Below are 19628 nucleotides of genomic sequence, written 5' to 3'. Positions count from 1 at the left end.
AAAGGAGGTCCCAGGTGTGGTCTGAGCAGAGCAGAGGGGGCTGTCACCTCCCTTGAGCTGCACGTAAGACTTCTATTGATGCAACACAAGATAGCATTTAATTTTTGTTGTTGTTATTGTTCCTTTTTTTTTCTCTTTTCCTTTTTTTTTTTTCTTTGAGCCGGAGTCTTGCTCTGTTGCCCAGGCTGGAGTGCAATGGCGCAGTCTAGGCTCACTGCAACCTCTGCCTCCCAAGTTCAAGCGATTCTCCTGCCTCAGCCTCCTGAGTAGTTGGAACTGCAGGCACGTGCCACCACACTCTGCTAATTTTTGTCTTTTTAGTAGAGGCAGGGTTTCACCGTTTTGGCCAGGCTGGTCTCAAACCCCTGACCTCGTGATCCTCCTGCCTCAGCCTCCCAAAGTGCTGGGATTACAGGTGTGAGCCACCGCTCCCAGCCTTTTTTTTTTTTTTTTTTTTTTCATTTTTTAAAGTAATTTTTAATTTGTGGTTATATAATAGCAGGGTTACAGATTCCTGGAAAGTTAAAATGTTTCAGTTTAGTCTAAAGTCCCCTTTGGGGGCCCGGTGCAGTGACTCACGCCTGTAATCCCAGCACTTTGGGAGGCCGCAGCAGGCAGATCACCTGAGGTCAGGAGTTTGAGACCAGCCTGGCCAACATGGTGAAACCGAAACCCTGTCTCTACTAAAATAAAATACAAAAATTAGCTAGGCGTGGTGGCGGGTGCCTGTAATCCCAGCTACCTGGGAGGCTGAGGCAGGAGAATCACTTGAACCTGGGAGACAGAGGTTGCAGTGAGCTGAGACTCTGTCTCAAAAAAAAAAAAGAAAATTAAAGTCCCCTTTGATCACTCCTCATTTTCCTTTTTGTCCCCTGCCCCTCTCTACACACACAATAACAAAAGTAACCACTGTTGTCAATTCGACATTTACCTTTCCAGATTTTCCCTGTAGATGTGTATGTGGTAAATACACACTCCCCAAACTAATATGTAGAATTTATGGGAGGCTGAGGCGGGCAGATCACGAGGTCAGGAGTTCGAGACCAGCCTGACCAACATGGTGAAACCCCGTCTCTACCACAAATACAAAAATTAGCTGGGTGTGGTGTCACACGCCTGTAATCCCAGATACTCAGGAGGCTGAGGCAGGAGAATTGCTTGAACCTGGGAGCCGGAGGTTGCAGTGAGCCGAGAACGTGCCACTGCACTTCAGCCTGGGCGACAGACTGAGACTCCGTCACACACAAACACACACACACACACACACACACACACGCACAAAGGAATTTATTTGTGGAGATTTTTTTTTTCACATAAATGGGATTATACTGTACATATTTATCCTGGAAATTCCTTTTCTTATTTTTTTTTTTTAGATAGAGTTTCCCCTGTCAGCCTCCCAAAGTACTTGGGATTACTTGACCTCGCCAAGTTTTGGGATTACAGGCGTAAGCCACTTCACCTGGCCTATCCTGAAATTTATTTTTCCCCTCTGTTCTGGGCTTTTGGGCTCAACTGTGGGCATAAGGGGGTTTTGGCTTTGCTGGGATCTGCATCAATGCTGCAGGCTCTTAGGGGAGCTAAACGGTCCTTACCTGGCGTGGAGGCCCCCTCAGAAGGCCCTCTCTCTGCCTTCTTCTCCCACATGTCCTTTTACCCACTCCCCTTTCTTCCATCTCCCACCTTTTTCTCACCCTAGCATTAAGGCCCCACACAAGCCATTGGTGAAAAGGTCGTTAAGTCACCAGATGCTTTTTTTAAAAGGTTTGTCTCCAGAATGTGGGCTCCCTGCGCCTCCTGGTGGCTCCTTTGAGTAACTGCAGCGGCACTGTCAGCCCCTAATCCATTCATTCATCCTTCAATCCCTCCACCCATCAATGCCTTCACCAAGCACTGCCCACCTACTGACTACCGCGTGAACCCTCTCTGTGCGAGCCCTGGGAGAAAAGACACGGAATGGAATATCTCTGCCCTGGACACTCTCCCGCTAGAATGTGAGCTCCACCGTGACCTGCCAGAAGAGTCTACAAGTTGGAGGGAGCAGCACTTTGTGCTGAAACCCATGGTCCAGGCACAGCTCCTTTGGAAGGCAATTGGGTGATCTCTCTCAAGTTCACTGCCGGGAATTAATTCTGCAGATATTCTGTCCATGGGCAAAATGACAGACTGACAGAATGTTTATTGCAGTATTGTTTTTGTTTGTTTTTTGAGACAGATTTTTGCTCTTGCCCAGTTGGAGTGCAATGGCGAAATCTAGGCTCACTGCAACCTCTGCCTCCTGGGTTCAATAGATTCTCCTGCCTCAGCCTCCCAAGTAGCTGGGTTTACAGGAGTGCGCCTCCACGCTAGGCTAATTTTAGATTTCTAGTCGAGACCAGGTTTCACCATGTTAGCCAGGCTGGTCTCGAACTCCTGACCTCAAGTGATCCACCCATCTTGGCCTCCCAAAATGCTGGGATTACAGGCGTGAGCCACCGCACCCGGCCTGCGGTATTGTTCTTGATGGCACATGGTAAGCACCTAGTAATGGCAGTGGGCGACATTTGTCCTGGTGCATCTGGATAATGGAACACCATGCGCTAGCGGAAGGAGCCCCACCTGCCCTGCAGGTTCACCTCTGACCTCGCCTTTCCCTCACTCTACTCCAGCTATCCTGCTCTCAGAGCCAGCACCAGAGACAGCTTGCCACCTTTAGGTCTTGCCAGTCATCCTCCTGTGATCCACTCCTCCTCAGAGGGGCTCTACTGGCTGCCCCCACCCTGCACCTGTCCCCACTCGGTCCTCCCTCCACTCCAGGTCCCTCTCACTTTTTTCCTACAGAAAGCATCTTATAACATACTAAACCATGTATTTATTTATTTGTTGTATTTATTATCTATTGTCTATCTCCTTACACTAGAATGTCATCTCTCCAATGGAAAGGACTTTGTTTATTTTGTTCAGTTTTATATCCCAAGCACTTCTCATAGTGCCTGACATAGAGCTGACGATAAATATCTGTTGAACAAAGGAATGAATTCAAATGAATGAGTGAAGCCAATGAATGAGTGTCTCAATGTACAGAACACAGAAAGATCTGTAAGACATATAAGAGGAGAAAGGAAGCTGCAAAGTGATGTGTGTGGTGTGCTCCCCTGCATAAATAACATGGGTGGAATGCTGTTCTGTAAACCTAAGGCCGGGCTCAGTAGCTCACGCATGTAATTCCAGAACTTTGGGAGGCCAAGGCAGGCAGATTGCTTGAGCTCAGGAGTTCAGGATCAGCCTGAGCAACATGGCAAAACCCCATCTGCACTAAAAATATAAAAATAGTAGCCCAGCGTGGTGGTGCACATCTGTGGTCCCAACTACTCAGGAGGCTGAGGTGGCAGGATCACTTGACTCTGGGAGGCAGAGGTTGCAGTGAGCTAACATCGTGCCACTGCACTCCAGCCTGGGCAAGAGGTGACAATGAGACCCTGTCTCAAAAATAAATAAATAAATAAATAAATAAATAAAAATAAACTTATAATCGCTCAAAAAAATAAAGTATATTAAATAAATAGCAACAGGCCGGGCACGGTGGCTCACGCCTGTAATCCCAGCACTTTGGGAGGCCAAGGCGGGTGGATCACCTGAGGTCAGGAGTTTGAGACCAGCCTGACCAACATGGTGAAACCCCATTTCTACTAAAACCACAAAAATTAGCTGGGCATGGTAGTGCACACCTGTAATCCCAGCTACTCGGGAGGCTGAGACAGGAGAATCACTTGAACCCAGGAGGCAGAGGTTGTGGTGAGCCGAGATCGCGCCATTACACTCCCGCCTGGGTGACAAGAACAAAACTCCATCTCAAAATAAAAATAAAAATAAAACAAACAAATAAACAACAACAAAGTTTATAAACATTTCTGGAGATTACAAGGAAGGGAGAAATACATTGGTTTGGGGTTCATTCATTGATGTATGCAACAAGCATTTCTTAGGCTCCCAATATATACTGTTTGTATTAGATAAAGATATAAGGATAGGTTTCTTTGGAAAAGGTGGCATTTGAGACTGGCTTTGAAATATGGATCAGATCCTGCCAGAAAGAGACAGGCAGAAAGGATATTCTAATGGAAGGATCAGTATGGAAATTTTGGTGGCTCAGACGTACTACAAATACTTACAGAATTATTACCAGAAAGGGGTACCAAACCAGACCCCAAGACAGGGTTTCTGGACCTCACACAAGAAGGAATTTGGGGTGAATCCATAGAGTAAAGTGAAAGCAAGTTTATTTAAGAAAGTAAAGGAATAAAATAATGGCTACTCCATAGGCAGGGCAGTGGCATGGGCTGCTCAGCTGAACATACTTATAGTTACTCCTTGATCGTATGCTAAACAAGGGGTGGATTATTCATTGTTTTACCAGGAAAGGGATGGGCAATTCCCAGAACTGAGGGTTCGTCCCCTTTTTAGACCATGTAGGGTAACTTCCTGACGTTGCCATGGCATTGGTAAATTCTCATGGTGCTGGTGGGAGTGTCTTTTAGCATGCGAATGCATTATAATTCCTATATAATGAGCAGTGAGGACGAATCGAGGTCACTTTCATCCCCATCGTAGTTTTGGTGGATTTTGGCCGGCTTCTTTTACTGCATCCTGTTTTATCAGCAGGGTCTTTGTGACCTGTACTTGTGATACCAGTCCTGCCAAACTCCTATCCCATCCTGTGACTAAGAATGTCTGACCTTCTGGGAAAGCAGTTCAGTGGGTCTCAGCCTTATTTTACCCAGCCCCTATTCAAGATGGAGTTGCCCTGGTTGGAAGGCTTCTGACAGAATGGTAAGCAGTTCTGGTTGTAAGTAGCAAAGCCTAAAGTACAAGAAAAACATGGGCCAGGCATGGTGGCTCATTCATATGATCCCAGTAATTTGGGAGGCTGAGGTAGGTGGATCACTTGAGGTCAGGAGTTCGAGACCAGCCTGGCCAAGATGGTGAAACCCGTCTCTACTGAAAATACAAAAATTAGCTGGGCGTCATGGTGCATGCCTGTAATCCCAGCTGCTCGGGAGGCTGAGGCACGAGAATCACTTGAACCTGGGAGGCAGAGTTTGCAGTGAGCTGAGATTACGCCACTGCACTCCAGCCTGGGCAACAAAGCGAGACTCCATCTCAAAAAAGAAAAGAAAGAAAGAAAGAAAGAACACGTGAGAAAGTGTGGGGAAAAGAAAGAGAAATCAGATTGTTACTGTGTCTATGTAGAAAAGGAAACATAAGAAACTCCATTTTGATCTGTATTAAGAAAAATTGTTTCTGCTTTGAGATGCTGTTAACTTGTAACTTTATCCCCAACCCTGTGCTCACAGAAACATGTGCTGTATTGGATCAAAGTTTAATGGATTTAGGACTGTGCAGGATGTGCCTTGTTAATATGTTTGCAGGCAGTATGCTTGGTAAAAGTCATCGCCATTCTCCATTCTCTGTTAACCAAGGACACAATGCACTGTGGAAAGCCACAGGGACCTCTGCCCAAGAAAGCCTGGGTATTGTCCAACGTTTCCCCCAACTGAGACAGCCTGAGATATGGCCTCATGGGAAAGGAAAGACCTTACCATCCCCCAGCCCGACACCCATAAAGGGTCTGTGCTGAGGAGGAGGAGTGAAAGAGGGAGGCCTCTTTGCAGTTGAGATAAGAGGAAGGCTTCTCTGCTCATCCCTGGGAATGGAATGTCTCTGTGTAAAGCCGACCATTCCCATTCATTCTATTCTGAGATAGGAGAAAACCGCCCTGTGGCTGGAGGCGAGATATGCTGGCAGCAATACTGCTCTGTTGCTCTTTGCTACACTGAGATACTTGGGTAAAGAGAAACATAAATCTAGCCTTCGTGCACATCCGGGCACAGTATCTTTCCTTGAACTTACTCATGATACAGATTCCTTTGCTCACATGTTTCCCTGCTGACCTTCTCCCCACCTGTTGCCCTGCTACACTCCCCTTGCTAAGATAGTAAAGATCATGATCAATAAATACTGAGGGAACTCAGAGGCTGGCGCCGGTGCGGGTCCTTCGTATGCTGAGCGCCAGTGCCCTGGGCCCACTGTTCTTTCTCTGTACTTTGTCCCTGTGTCTATTTCTTTTCTCAGTCTCTCATCCCACCTGACGAGAAATACCCACAGGTGTGAAGGGGCTGGCCCCCTTCAATAAAGCTGTCACGGTTTATTGGTCCCAGTTGAGAAAGGAATTATATGTGAGGTTTAAGTAGTTTTCTTAACTTGGTAAGCAACAGGGAGTCTTTGAAGGTTGATATTAAGAATGTATTCTTAAATTTAAAATTAAAATAATATAAGACCAGGCACGGTGGCTCACACCTGTAATCCCAGCACTTTGGGAGGCTGAGGCAGGCAGAACACTTGAGGCCAGGATTTCGAGACCAGCCTGGTCAACATGGCAAAACCCTGTCTCTACTAAAAATACAAAAATTAGCCAGGCATGGTGGCGGATGCCTGTAATCCCAGCTACTCAGGTGGCTGAGGCAGGAGAATCACTTGAACCTGGGAGGCAGAAGTTGCAGTGAGCCAAGATCACACCACCGCACTCCAGCCTGGGCGATAAGAGCGAGACTCCATCTAAAAAAAAAAAATTAATTTAATTTAATTAAAATTAAAATTAAAATAATATAAGAGGCCCCTGTGAGACTATGACCTGCAGTGAGACCACAGCATCAGGGCTGTGGGTCTGACCTAAGGAGGAACTTCCTGCTGTGGTTTGGAGGGGAGCATCCCTGGGAGTCAGGGATTGGGGACAGGAGAGGCCTCCCTACTAGGGGCCTGATGGAGAACAAGCAATCCCTACTAGACCTCCAGCTCCCCTAAGGAGCAAGTTCTTGTGTCCCTGAGCCCTGACAACCCAAAATAATCAAAAGTGGCTGCCCAGCGAGGTGTCAGAGCCTCAGCATTGGAAAGTGGTCCACTCGTGGATTAGTAAGGAGAATTTACTGCTGGGCATGGTGGCTCATACCTATAATCCCAGCACTTTGGGAGGCCAAGGCAGGTGGATCATTTGAGGTCAGGAGTTCAAAACCAGCCTGGCCAACATGGTGAAACCTCATCTCTACTAAAAATACAAAAATTAGCTGGACGTGGTGGTGGACGTCTGTAATCCCAGCTACTCTGGAGGCTGAGGCAGGAGACTCACTTGAGCCCAGGAGGTGGAGGTTGCAGTGAGCCAAGATCATGCTACTGCACTCCAGCCTGGGCAACAAAGTGAGATTCCGTTTCAAAAAAACAAAAAAAGAAGAAGAATTTATGGATAATAGTATTGGTTTGAAAAAAGGAAAGTTTTATTAGAAAGAAAGAACTCTGTAGAAGAGTGCAGGCAAGAATCTCAGCAAGATAGGATGGAGAGTGCCAAGGTGGATTTTTCCTCAGGGGCATTTATGCACCTTAAAGCAGGAGCTTAAGGATAATTTGGTCCACATTAGCCACATAGGTCACGCTAAATGATTACATTTGTAGACATTTTCCTGCCTTGATGTCAGCAAGGGTTGCATAATGAGTTTCAATATGCATGCATTCCAGAGATGTTTAGAAATGCTACTTACTGCAAATCAAGAGTTATCTGAGACAAGTCTCAATCAATTTAGAAAATTTATTCTACCAAGGTCAAGGACACACCAGTGACACAGCCATAGGAGGTCCTGATAACATGTGCCCAAGGTAGTTGGGGCACAGCTAGGTTTTATACATTTTAGGGAGACATGAGACATCAGTCAGCAAATACGTAAGATGTACATCAATTCCATCCAGAAAGGTGAGACAACCTGAAGTGGGGAGGGGTTTTCCAGGTCATAGGTAGATAAAGGACAAATTGTTACATTCTTTTGAGTTTCTGATTAGCCCTCCACTGAATATGCAACTTGCAGGAATAGTCACTTATGCCTTAGTCTGGCTTAGCGAAGCAATAGGGCAAAGGAAGCCATCAGATGTGCATTTGTCTCCCATGAGCAGAGGGATGACTTTGAGTTCTGTCTGTTCTAGGTACACAAGGAATTTCCTTGTGGGAAAATTGTGAGGGAGGTATGTAGCTTTTTAAAATCTTTGTAGCTATCTTATTTAGCTATCCCATTAGAATGGGAGGCAGGTTTGCCCGATGCCGTTCCCAGCTTGACTTTTCGTTTTGGCTTAGTGATTTGAGGGTCCCAAGTTTATTTTCCTTTCACATTTCCCCCCTTTTCTTTTTAAAAGCATTTTAGAAGAAAATTAGCCTCTGGTCTCAGGTTTTGTCTGATCTCTCATGACTAGGACAGTTTATTCATAGACAGGTAGGTTCCACATTATTAGGAAAGCTCGCTTTAGCAGGTTGTGAAGTCTCACGTCCTAAGAGAAAATGGGGGAGGAAAGGAGAAAAACAACAACAACAACAATAATCCTGGGAAATCAATATAGGCCATATTACTCTGAAGTTCATACACCAGTAGGCAGGTATGAAAGTAGCTTATGTATGTAAATAGATTGTCTAGCTTTAGTTCACAGGGCTTTAGGAAAGCACAGTTTAATGTTTGGTGATTTCTAATCAGGAAAAAATGTGGGGGGAAAAGGAAAGGAAAAAAGAAAAAAAATGAAAAAAATTATTTTGGGGACTTGTGACCAGGAAAAATTTTAGAGTTTAGTCCAAACTATAGAAAATAATAAAAATTTAAAAACACTAAGTGAGACTAAAATCTAACAACAGGTGTACTATAGGTGATTTTGAAACATAATTTTTTCTCTCTCCAGTCCCCTTTCACTGAGGACAAATTATAGAACAAAATTCATTTGCAAAATAAGTTTCTGTCTTATTATATTTGGCTGGAGTATTTGCATAAAATCATCAAGAATAATTATTTGCCATATAGGCTCCTTGTTTTTTTTTTAATTGGCTTTGCTGGAACTTTATTCCATAAGTAATCTCACATTCGACTTTAATGTCTTAAGCCCGGCCTGTGCCTGCAAATACCTGTATTAATTGGATGAATTCCTCACCTCAGGAAGACTTTGGGCTCCTGGGCCTGTTAGAAAGTGACACTCTTTACTTACCACAGGTCAGGAACCTGTACAGGGACTGTGTAGACAAGATAGGAGGCCAGCTTTCCCAAGATGCTTTTATTAGCTCTGTAAGTCAACTTTGATTCCTTAAAGGAGTCTGCATCTGATAGCATGTTGTTCCAGTCAAAACCTTGGTAAAATCACCACTGTCCCCAATTATGTCCTCTTACAAAAGAAAACAGATTCTTATTGTACTTGTGCAGATAACTATATTGCTATAAGTTAAGAATACTCCCAACTAGTTTCCAAATTTTAGAGAAACCAGATAGAGAGAAATATGCTCCAAATTTTGTTTATAGGAGTATAATTTCCTCAATTGTTAAAAGCTATAAATACAGAACTTGCCCTGCAGAGAAAGATAAAAGAAAAAAAGAAAGAAGATTATTTATTTGTTAATAATAATAATAATAATAAATTTTTTAAAAGCTCAAAATAAATGTTTTCTTGGCTCTGAAAAACAAAGAAAGGATTAGCAATGTTTTAAGCAAAAAGTCATAGAAGGATTATTTCAGTCTTCTATTAGTTCAGTCCATGCAGTTAACTCCTCTTCTGCTTGCTATTCATGTATATTTCAGCTCTCTATGGGAGTGTTGGATTTTTTTTCTCTATTTTAGTGTCACTATCTCCAAAACCTGTATTCAACAGCAACTGTCAGAGTCCTATGCTGATTGTAAAATCATCCTTTTGAAAAGGATAAAAGTAAAACAACTGTGGATGACAAAAGTTTTAGAAAAGTCATACTTAAAGACACAATTGACAAAGAAACTTGGTTACTTCTGTAGCATACAATAATTTTACATAATAATGATAATGATTAATAACATATACTAAGTCATTCATAATTATAGGATTTTCCCATAATTTTGGAACATATGCCAATAACATATTTATACAAATACAGCCCAAAGAAAGCCAAACACTATTACATATTTGACAATGCTTCCTGTATGATTTTTATGCCAAATAAGCTGACTGTGTCTCTTTTGGACTTCAGGGGACTAATATCAAAAAATCATTGAGGAACCAAGTTAGAATTTGACTTTGGAAAGTTTGTCAAATATAAAAAGTTTAAAGGCCAGGCACAGTGGCCTTTAAACACCTTTCACACCTGTAATCTCAGCACTTTGGGAGGCCAAGGCAAGTGGATCACCTGAGGTTAGGAGTTCAAGACCAGCCTGGCCAACATGGTGAAACCCTGTCACTACTAAAAATAGAAAAATTAGCTGGGTGTGGTGGCAAGTGCCTGTAATCCCAGCTATTCATGAGGCTGAGGCATGAGAATTGCTTGAACCTGGGAGGCAGAGGTTGCAGTGAGCCAAGATTGCACCACTGCACTCCAGCCTGAGTGACAGAGAGAGACTCCATCTCAAAATATTAAAATTTTAAAAATAAAAATAAAAAGTTTAAAATGCTTGATTTGGCTGGGCACAGTGGTTCATACCTGTAATCCCAAAACTTTGGGAGGCCAAGGTGGGTGGATCGCCTGAGGTCAGGAGTTCTAGACCAGCCTGGCCAACATGGTAAATGCTGTCTCTATGAAAAATACAAAAATTAGCCGGGTGTGGTGGCAGGCACCTGTAATCTCAGCTACTCGGGAGGCTGAGGCAGGAGAATCGCTTGAACCCAGGAGGTGGAGGTTGCAGTGAGCCAAGATCATAGCACTGCACTCCAGCCTGGGCAACAGAGTAAGACTCCATCTCAAAAATAAATAAATAAATAAATAAAATGCTTGATATCACAAAATAGGATCACAGATCAAGTCATTGTAAAATAAGTCTTTCATTTACTCAACTTGATAACTCAAAGATTTCAAAAAAAAGGCAAAAACCTTGATTCTTTGAGAGAGAAGACTTAATTGCCTAAACAATAAGCCCTAATAAAAACGAGGCCAATTAAATTTGTTTTTCAAAATGTATAAACAATCTATAAAATTTTAATCATCCTGACCACAAGATAAAAATTCCACAAGCCTTTTTTATAACCTTTATAACCTCTTTTATAACCTTTTATTAAGGAGTGGGTTAATTCTCCAAGAAAACCTTGTTAACGTGACACAGCAGCCCATATGCTAGTCTTGCATCAGTGTGCCTTTGAGATTAATGGTTAATTTATAGAGAAACTCAATTATTTTATCTCTCAAAATTGGCCTTATAATCATTTGATCTCTCAAAATCGGCCCTTACAATCTCATGCACCCACCTCTTCTTTGATAGTCTCCAGACCTTGAGGAGTTGAATCGTTTTAATTTCCGGCCTTCTGTCTCATGAACACAGTTTATTTTGATTGGCATCTTCTACCAGGTCAGAAAATGAGGTTTTAACTGCTGTCAGTGTTTAATATTTAGCAGGACTTGGTGTTCTTTTTAGACCAAGGACTCAAAGCTCTGTAACTTAATGGCACAAGGACTTTAAAAGCACATACAGAGGGTTACATGTATGTAATAATCTTAATTAAAAAAAATTTAATCTCGGGTTTTTTTCTAAACAAACCAAAACTTAGTAATAATGACATAGGAATTATTTCAATAAAGCATAAACTCTGTTTATTAGGCCAATTTCCCAAAGGGAAAACAAAACACCTTCTGCATTTCAACCGCTGTTCCCTACAGGAAATATTATGTTGGAAGGAATGTTTCCTTTAGACCACAAAGATAAAACATTTATTAGCGTCAGGCCACAACAGTTAGAACACAAAGGAGAAAATAAAAAAACTTACAGGAGCTAAAAATGAGTTGAAAGATAGAGTTATTATTTCAGGTACTTTAAAAGGGGAGAGAAAGCTGAAAACAGTGAGATGCAATAAAAGTTGAACTTTGCAGGAAAAAATATATTATATATATAGTCTTGTAATTTATTAAAAGTAAATCAATACCTTAAGAAAATGTTGTTCTAATGAATTCTTTAGTGTATAAATGTTTTTTAATATCAAAACCCAATCTCTCAAAAGATCATTATAAATAATTTCCCTTTAATTATAGACAACTTGATTATATGAAAGTTTGTGGGTCTTTTTCCATAAATGCTCTTATTATAACTTAAACAGACCATTCACGACATGCTTGGACTTTCTGGTTTGTATGAACATTCCTCTTTCTTAAACAACCAGTCATTTTATTCTAGGACAAAAATGTACCATACAAGGTTCTTTCTCATGTAAAATTATTTTTCTTTAAGCTTTCTTACCAAAAATTCTTTTTTATTTCTATAACTTCTTTATATATTTTCTTGTTTCTTTTTACCTTATTTTATATATAACCTTTAAATAAGCTTTGAATTAGACAAAAATTATCCTCCTTTTAACAAGAACACATTTTTTAGAAAAAAAATGATTTCCTGCAATATCTTTTTTAATTAAAAAAACCCAGTTAATGAAATATCTATTGTTTAATTTAACATAACTTTAGATCCTAAATTATGACAACTTTGTCTACAAGTATTTATCCCATTACATTTACCTAAATATTTTATTTTAATAGTTTACCCAGGTTAGTTATGAAAACTGTGATAGTCATCATTTAAAGTTATTTCCCTGTCAAACATTTGATAGCCTGTGAATTTCAGGTGTTTGCTAAGTAAAAACCTTAAGATTAAATATATTGTTATTTCACTAAATAATTCATGATTTAGCTGTTTTCATTAAACCAATATCAATGTCTTATTTATCAAAAATTACAAAAGCAAAAATCATTCTGTTTTGAACGGTTTTGTAGTTTTACAAACCCTATGCCAAATTTTGACACCTTACAGTATTTGGCAGTATATGAAGTCCCTTGATCAATAAATGCAAACAAAAATTTATGCTAACAATTTTTAAGACATTTCTAATATTACTTTACCAATAATTTTAAAGCTAGCTTATTAAAGATTTTACTTAAGTCACATGAACTTGAAAAGCATTTAGGCTTATTAATTTATGAATATTCTTTAACTTTAAGCCAATTCAGTACCTGTGGCTAGAAAACACAATGAAATAAGTGTATGTATGCATAAACACACACATACATACTCATACAACCAAAGATCCTATAGCTATTATCTCAGAACTCTAGCCATGAGATATTAATAGAAACTCGTTGGTTTGCTGAGATCATGCCATTGCACTCCAGCCTGGGCAACAGAGCAAGACTCTGTCTCAAAAAAAAAAAAAAATTAGCCAAGAGTGGTGGCACATGCCTGTAGTCCCAGCTATTCAGGAGGCTGAGGTGGGAGGACTGCTTGAACCTGGGAGGCAGAGGTTGTAGTGAGCTGAGATTGCACCACTGCACTCCAACCTGGGCACAGAGCAAGACTCTGTCTCAAAAAAAGAAAGAAAAATAATAGCAGACTTAAAACAGGCAGAAAAGAAAGCAGAGAGATAGAGAACTTAGGAACTTTACAGCTGGAGGTCAACCTTCAAGCTCTAAATTGTCTTTGACATAATTGTGCACAAAGAGACCATAATATGTCCATTTACACAAACACTTGCAAAGTAGAGATGCCGTAAAATCAATGGGGTACCTAAAAGAGGGTCATTCTCTTGTGAGAAGACTAAGCTCTGATTTTTTCTATCTTGCCTAAATTCCTATCTAAGGGGTCTGGGGAGTCATGCCCTACAAATCATAAATTCTCATCAGATGGATTTTATTTAACATTATATATGATGACTACTTTCCAATCTGACTCTGGCATAACATTACATGACCAAGAAGAAAGTCAATTGTTTTACCCCAAAACATGTTTCTTTGCCATATTTTGAAATGGTCCTGCCAAACTGTACTTTGTGGGGGAAAATTTGCAACTGTAAAGAATCTCTATTAGCATAGCTAGATCTTTTTATTTTAGGCCCTCCCAATCCTGAAGAGATTAACTAATAGTCTAGCACATTTTCAAAGGTCTGAATAAGAAACATTTGTCACCTATTGTCTCTAAGGGCAGCCAATATAAGACCTCAAAAGAACCTTGGACTCCACAGTCTTTTATCTTAACCTAAACATTTACTTTCTATTGATCCCGGGTCTTTAGACAAACTCAACCAATTGTCAATCAGAAAATGTTTAAATTTAGACCAGGCAAGGTGGCTCACACCCATAATCCTAGCACTTTGGGAGGCCGAGGCCGGTGGATCACCTGAAGTCAGGAGTTCAAGATCACTCTGGCCAACATGGGGAAACCCTGCCTCTACTAAAAATACAAAAATTAGCCAGGCGTGGTGGTGGGTGCCTGTAATCCCAGCTACTCAGGAGGCTGAGGCAGGAGAATTACTTGAAACCCATGGGGGCGGAGGTTGCAGTGAGTTGAGATTGTGCCACTTCACTCCAGCCTGGGTGGAAGAGTGAGTCTCTGTCTCAAAACAAAAAAACAAAACAAAACAAAAAGTTTAAATTTACCGATTTACCTATAGCCTATAGCCTGGAAGCCACCCTCACCCTGACCCCTGCTTTGAATTGTCCCGCCTTTCTGAATCAAACCAATGTGTTTCTTAAATGTATTTGATTGATGTCTCATGCCTTCCTAAAATATACAAAACCAAGCTGAGCCCCGACCACCTTAGGCACGTGTTCTCAGGACCTCCTAAGGGCTATGTCACGGGCCATAGTCACTCATATTGGGCTCTGAATAAATATCTTCAACTATTTTACACAGTTTAACTCTTTTCGTCAACACCTTGTTTTTCCTTATTCTTAGATTATTTGTTTCCCACTTTCTTTTAAGGAGTAACTGAGCTGTGGCCTAGGGTTTTTGTGGAGTAGGTCGAAGTGTAATGGTTGCAGATGAGACTCCACAGTGTGTCACCACTGAATCCTTGCCACCACCCTCTTAGGTGTCTCAGTGTTTTCTCCGGAGGTCTAGCACCTCCAAGAGGGCTCAAAACTCAGAGTGACCAGTTCCTATATGTGCTTCCTGGACGAGCCTTTTTAAAACTAATTTTGTTGTGAGTTCCCTGCAGAATCACTTCATGTCGCTGGGGGCTCAACCCCCCAACACTCCCGCAAGGCCCCCCAGTCACTCGGGTACCTTTCTGCTGGGAGGAGCAAAATGCCCTTTCTCTTTGGAGCTAAGGAAACTCAGTCTCTTATTTATCTATGAAAATGACAGTTCAGTTCCTCACGTGAATGCACACACAAGCCAACGTGTGAGATTAATTTTGGGGGGAAAGGCAATGGAGAAGACTATTTAGAATGCACCTCTGAACTAGAATTAGGATCCTAAACAACAACTTCCCAGGAGGGAAAAAGCCAGCTAAGACCACACTCTGTTTACTGTCCTCAGCCACCCCTAGCTTTGTAGCTTGGTACTGAAGACGGCAAAGGGGGAAGGAGGAATCAGGGTGAAAGAAAAGCAAACAAAAGAACAATTTTTTTTTTTTTGAGACAGCGTTTCACTCTTGTTGCCAGGGCTGGAGTGCAATGGCACTATCTTGGCTCACTGCAATCTCCACCTCCGAGGTTCAAGTGATTCCCCTGCCTCAGCCTCCTGAGTAGCTGGGATTACAGGTGTGTGCCACCATGCCCAGCTAATTTTTGTATTTTTAGTAGGGATGGGGTTTCGCCATATTGACCAGGCTGGTCTCAAACTCCTGACCTCAAGTGATCCACCCGCCTTGGCCTCCCAAAGTGCTGGGATTACAGGCGTGAGCCACTGCGCCTGGCCGGCACTTGTTTTAAAATGTGATGTTCTATAGACTGCAGCAACTTTTTTGGTGAAGTGTGAGTTAATTACAGCTAGAATGTGAGGTCTTAACTGTAAATTCGCTTGTAATTTTGTGAGCAAATTGTGACCTAATAAAGAAACAGGGCAGCTTGGCAGGACTGAAGAGTGGGTAAAGGAATAGCCTTTCATTTTATAAGGGAGTGGCAGTGTGAAACAGCCTCACTGAAGTTTATCAATACCCGTAATGAAATGGAGGACTAGCACATTGGGCTGTAATAAACACTTAAAGCTGAATAACTGGTCCCTGTATCTATTAGGAACATTATCTCTTGTTCAGCCACAATCAGATTTAACAGAGGCTCATCCACAGAGATGGAAAAAATAGGGGCTTGAACGGCCTCAAAGCCCTAGAGGATGACTTTATTTATTTATTTATTTATTTATTTATTTATTTATTTATTTATTTATTTGAGGCAGAGTCTCTCTCTGTCACCCAGGCTGGAGCATAGTGGCACAGTCTCAGCTCATTGCGACCTCCGCCTCCCAGGTTCAAGTGATTCTCCTGCCTCAGCCACCCAAGTAGGTGGGATTACAGGCACCTGCCACCATGCCTAGCTAATTTTTTTTGTATTTTAGTAGAGTTAGGTTTTCACCATGTTGGCCAGGCTGGTCTCGAACTCCTGACATCAGGTGATCCACCCGCCTCAGCCTCCCAAAGTGCTGGGATTACAGGCATGAGCCACTGTGCCCGGCTCCAGGATGACTTTTAGAGACTTGATTATTATCCAGGAATAGAGTTAGAGGTGCTTCTCCCTGCCCTTGCCCTTGTTCTGCCAGACTCCCTTGTCAGGTAGGTTGGTGAGGTTGGGGCTGTGACAGCCCAGAAGGAAGAGATGTCTCCCCACCACGAGAGAGAGAGGGACACTTGCTCTTCCAACTGAAACAGGAGAGTTCCCTGATTCTCCTTGCAGGACATGCAACAGGGGGTGTGGCTCGTCTGTTTGGTCACCCCACTGCTCAAACCCCTGAGGGAAGGGGGAACACACAGATGGACAGGTGCTGGAGCCCAAGTGGGCATATGTTACAGTGTGCTCCTTTAGCCTTGCCATCCAGGGATGCCTGAATGTTAACTTCCCCAGATTCTTGTCTGGCATCCTGGATTAATCAGGTCACATGAACTGTTTGAAAAGTGATACATGCGGAGACTTTATTGAGGAGTGGAGGTGTCTTCCAAAGTTCAGACGCCTCTTCCCTCCCTCTCTGCCATGCTGCTCTGCCACTCTCCAGCGCTCTCTGCCATTCTCTGCCACTCCGTTCCTCCACTCCTCTTGACATTCAGCTGCTTGTGTGTGTGCCCGCCAAGGTCTCGGGTTTATATTGTTATATATAAAGTTTCTGTGCCTCAAAATAAATAGCACTCGAATATAAAATTTTCTGTTCAATTCTCAGCAAGGCAAGGTACTTCTATAAAAGGGTGCAACCTCACAGATGGAGCAATGGTGAGCACACATCTGGACAAGGGAAGGAAAGGGGTTCTTATCCCTGAAGGATGTGGCCCCTGCTGCTATGTCATTCCCCTATTGGCTAGGGTTAGACCACACAGGCTAAACTAATTCCGATTGGCTAATTTAAAGAGAGTGATGGGGTGAGTGCTTTGGCGGGAAAATAATGGTTATGCAGGGCAGAGAATAATGAGTCAGGGTGGAGCAGGTAATCGGAATGAGTCAGGGTGGAGCAGGTAATCGGAGTGAGTCAGGGTGGAGCAGGTAATCGGAGTGAGTCAGGGTGGAGCAGGTAATCGGAGTGAGTCAGGGTGGAGCAGGTAATCGAAAAAGGTTGCTTTATGAGGAAATTAAGTTTAAAAGTAGAAGGCAAAGAATTGAACATACAGACATACTAATTCTTTGAAGAGAAATTTAGAATTCATATTTAACAACTTCCTCCTCTTGCATTTTTCTTACGGCTTTCTCTTCAAACTTATTTAACATGTCTTGACTTAGTTGTTCTGCTTGATTTTCCAAAAGAAGAAGCTTCTCTGGATAAGGTGGAGGATAGTTAAGGGAGGTTTTAGCAAGTGCCGTTTCTACGAGCCTCTGCACCAACCCACGGATGCATGGTATGACACAGCACCCGACAAGAATAAGTACACCTATTACAGCTACGAGGGAGGTAAGAATTGAGGCTATTATTCCTTTCCATTTACCGAACCATTTTTCTAGCCATCCTGTAAAGGGATCATTTACCCCTGAGCTGCTGGCTAACTCACTGGATAGAGCAGTGAGACCTTGCAATGCCTTTGTTATACTTCCATTAGGGGCAATGTTGTTTGGGATGAAGGTGTAACATTGAGTTTTAGTCACGATGCAAACCCCTCCTCTTTCTGCTAATATCATGTCTAAGGCTGTCCTATTTTCCCAAGCCATCTGGCCTGTAGCCCCTACTTGCTCAGCTATTCCTCTAACAGTATCTCTAGTGTAGTTACTAAATCACTGTTGGTTGTAATAGATGTAGTTTATCCAATCTACATGTTTATTAATTGTCACCCACCAAGATATTGACTCAAATCCTGCAGCTATTTGATTCCAGACTTTAAATTGATCTTGTATTCTCCATGGGACCCCAATTGCGTCTAAACAGAAGTGAGAGTCTAAAGACCCATAAGGGGCTTCTCTCACTTTACGATGTCTTATTTTTCCTTCCTCTGGTTGATGAAATGCCAGGGTGAAAGGGATAGCTAGTTGGACTAAAGCACAAGTGCCAATCCAGTTATTCGGCAGAGTGTCCAGTAAAGGTCCACCACAATACCACCACACTTCTGCTAGGGGATGAACAAGGGCTGGCTGATTGGTAAGCTTTTGAAAGTTCTTTTTCTTTTTTTTCGAGAGAGAGTCTCGCTCTGTCGCCCAGGCTGGAGTGCAGTGGCACGATCTCGGCTCACTGCAAGCTCCACCTCCTGGGTTCACGCCATCCTCCTGCCTCAGCCTCCCAAGTAGCTGAGACTACAGGCGCATGACGCCACGCCTGGCTAATTTTTTTTTTTTTTTTTGTATTTTTAGTAGAGATGGGGTTTCATCGTGTTAGCCAGGATGGTCTCGATTTCCTGACCTTGTGATCCGCCTGCCTCGGCCTCCCAAAGTGCTGGGATTACAGGCATGAGCCACCGCGCCTGGCCAAAAGTTCTTAAGCTCACTGCATCCCTTCAGGTCTCCAAGGAACACTAAGTTTCCTCCCTGTCATGAGAGACACGAAGTAAACTTAGTGTTGGGAGATGGAAGCTGGATGGCCCTTGGGGGCTGACCCACAAGGTGTCAAACTTCGGGATATAGCAGAGAGAGAGCTTGGCACAACTTCTTACCCCAGGCTATAGAATCCTGGAAAAGAGCTACCATGCAGCCCATGCCCGGTCAACTGGAGGACCACCCTAGTGGAAAGGGGACAATCTGGGCCTCTGGCCTGCTGTGCGCACAAGCATAACAATTGCTTTTGTTTAACGTGTGGATGAAATATTTGATCCATTCCAACCAAACATTTACATCTTGGTATCCTGTCTCAATTGCCAGTTTGTTTTAAGTCTTTAACTTCTACCATCGCTATCTTGGCCTTGTCGTTAGATAGAGGAGGAACAATGGTTCCGTTGTGAGAGGTTTTGGAAAAAGGCTCAGAGGCAGGTGCAGACAGCAGGGGATCAAAGAAGTGCATTTCAAAGAATCCAATAGGGTCTGTCCCTGAAACTTCAGCCCCCATACCATAAAACTGGCTTAAAGAAGGGAACCAGCTTAGAAAAGAGGAAGAATTTTGTGGGCTCAAAATAATAACCTGTATAGGGTTGCACTGGTTTAGCTGAGAGTTAGTGGGCACTGTCCCTTTAGTAAAACGAATGTATGAATTTAGGAAATTACAAAAACTGGTTGGGGCAATCCATCCTTGCTCTTTAATGGTCCACAGAAC

The 19628-nt window shown here is 42.5% G+C and overlaps 1 annotated feature.

Moving 5' to 3' along the window:
• Positions 245–421: a silencer, noted in NCBI's record as "fragment chr20:798226-798402 (GRCh37/hg19 assembly coordinates)". NCBI's record gives its function as "represses an EF-1alpha promoter that drives an FKBP-Casp9 reporter gene in an ReSE screen in phorbol 12-myristate 13-acetate-treated (for megakaryocytic differentiation) K562 erythroleukemia cells {active_cell/tissue: K562(+PMA)}" and the evidence as "EXISTENCE:reporter gene assay evidence [ECO:0000049][PMID:32094911]".

The sequence above is a fragment of the Homo sapiens genome, chromosome 20 (genome assembly GCF_000001405.40).
Source record: "Homo sapiens chromosome 20, GRCh38.p14 Primary Assembly".
Taxonomy (NCBI): Eukaryota; Metazoa; Chordata; class Mammalia; order Primates; family Hominidae; genus Homo; species Homo sapiens.
The sequence above is the reverse complement of the archived record's forward strand: the minus strand, read 5'-3'. Positions and strand labels throughout refer to the sequence as shown.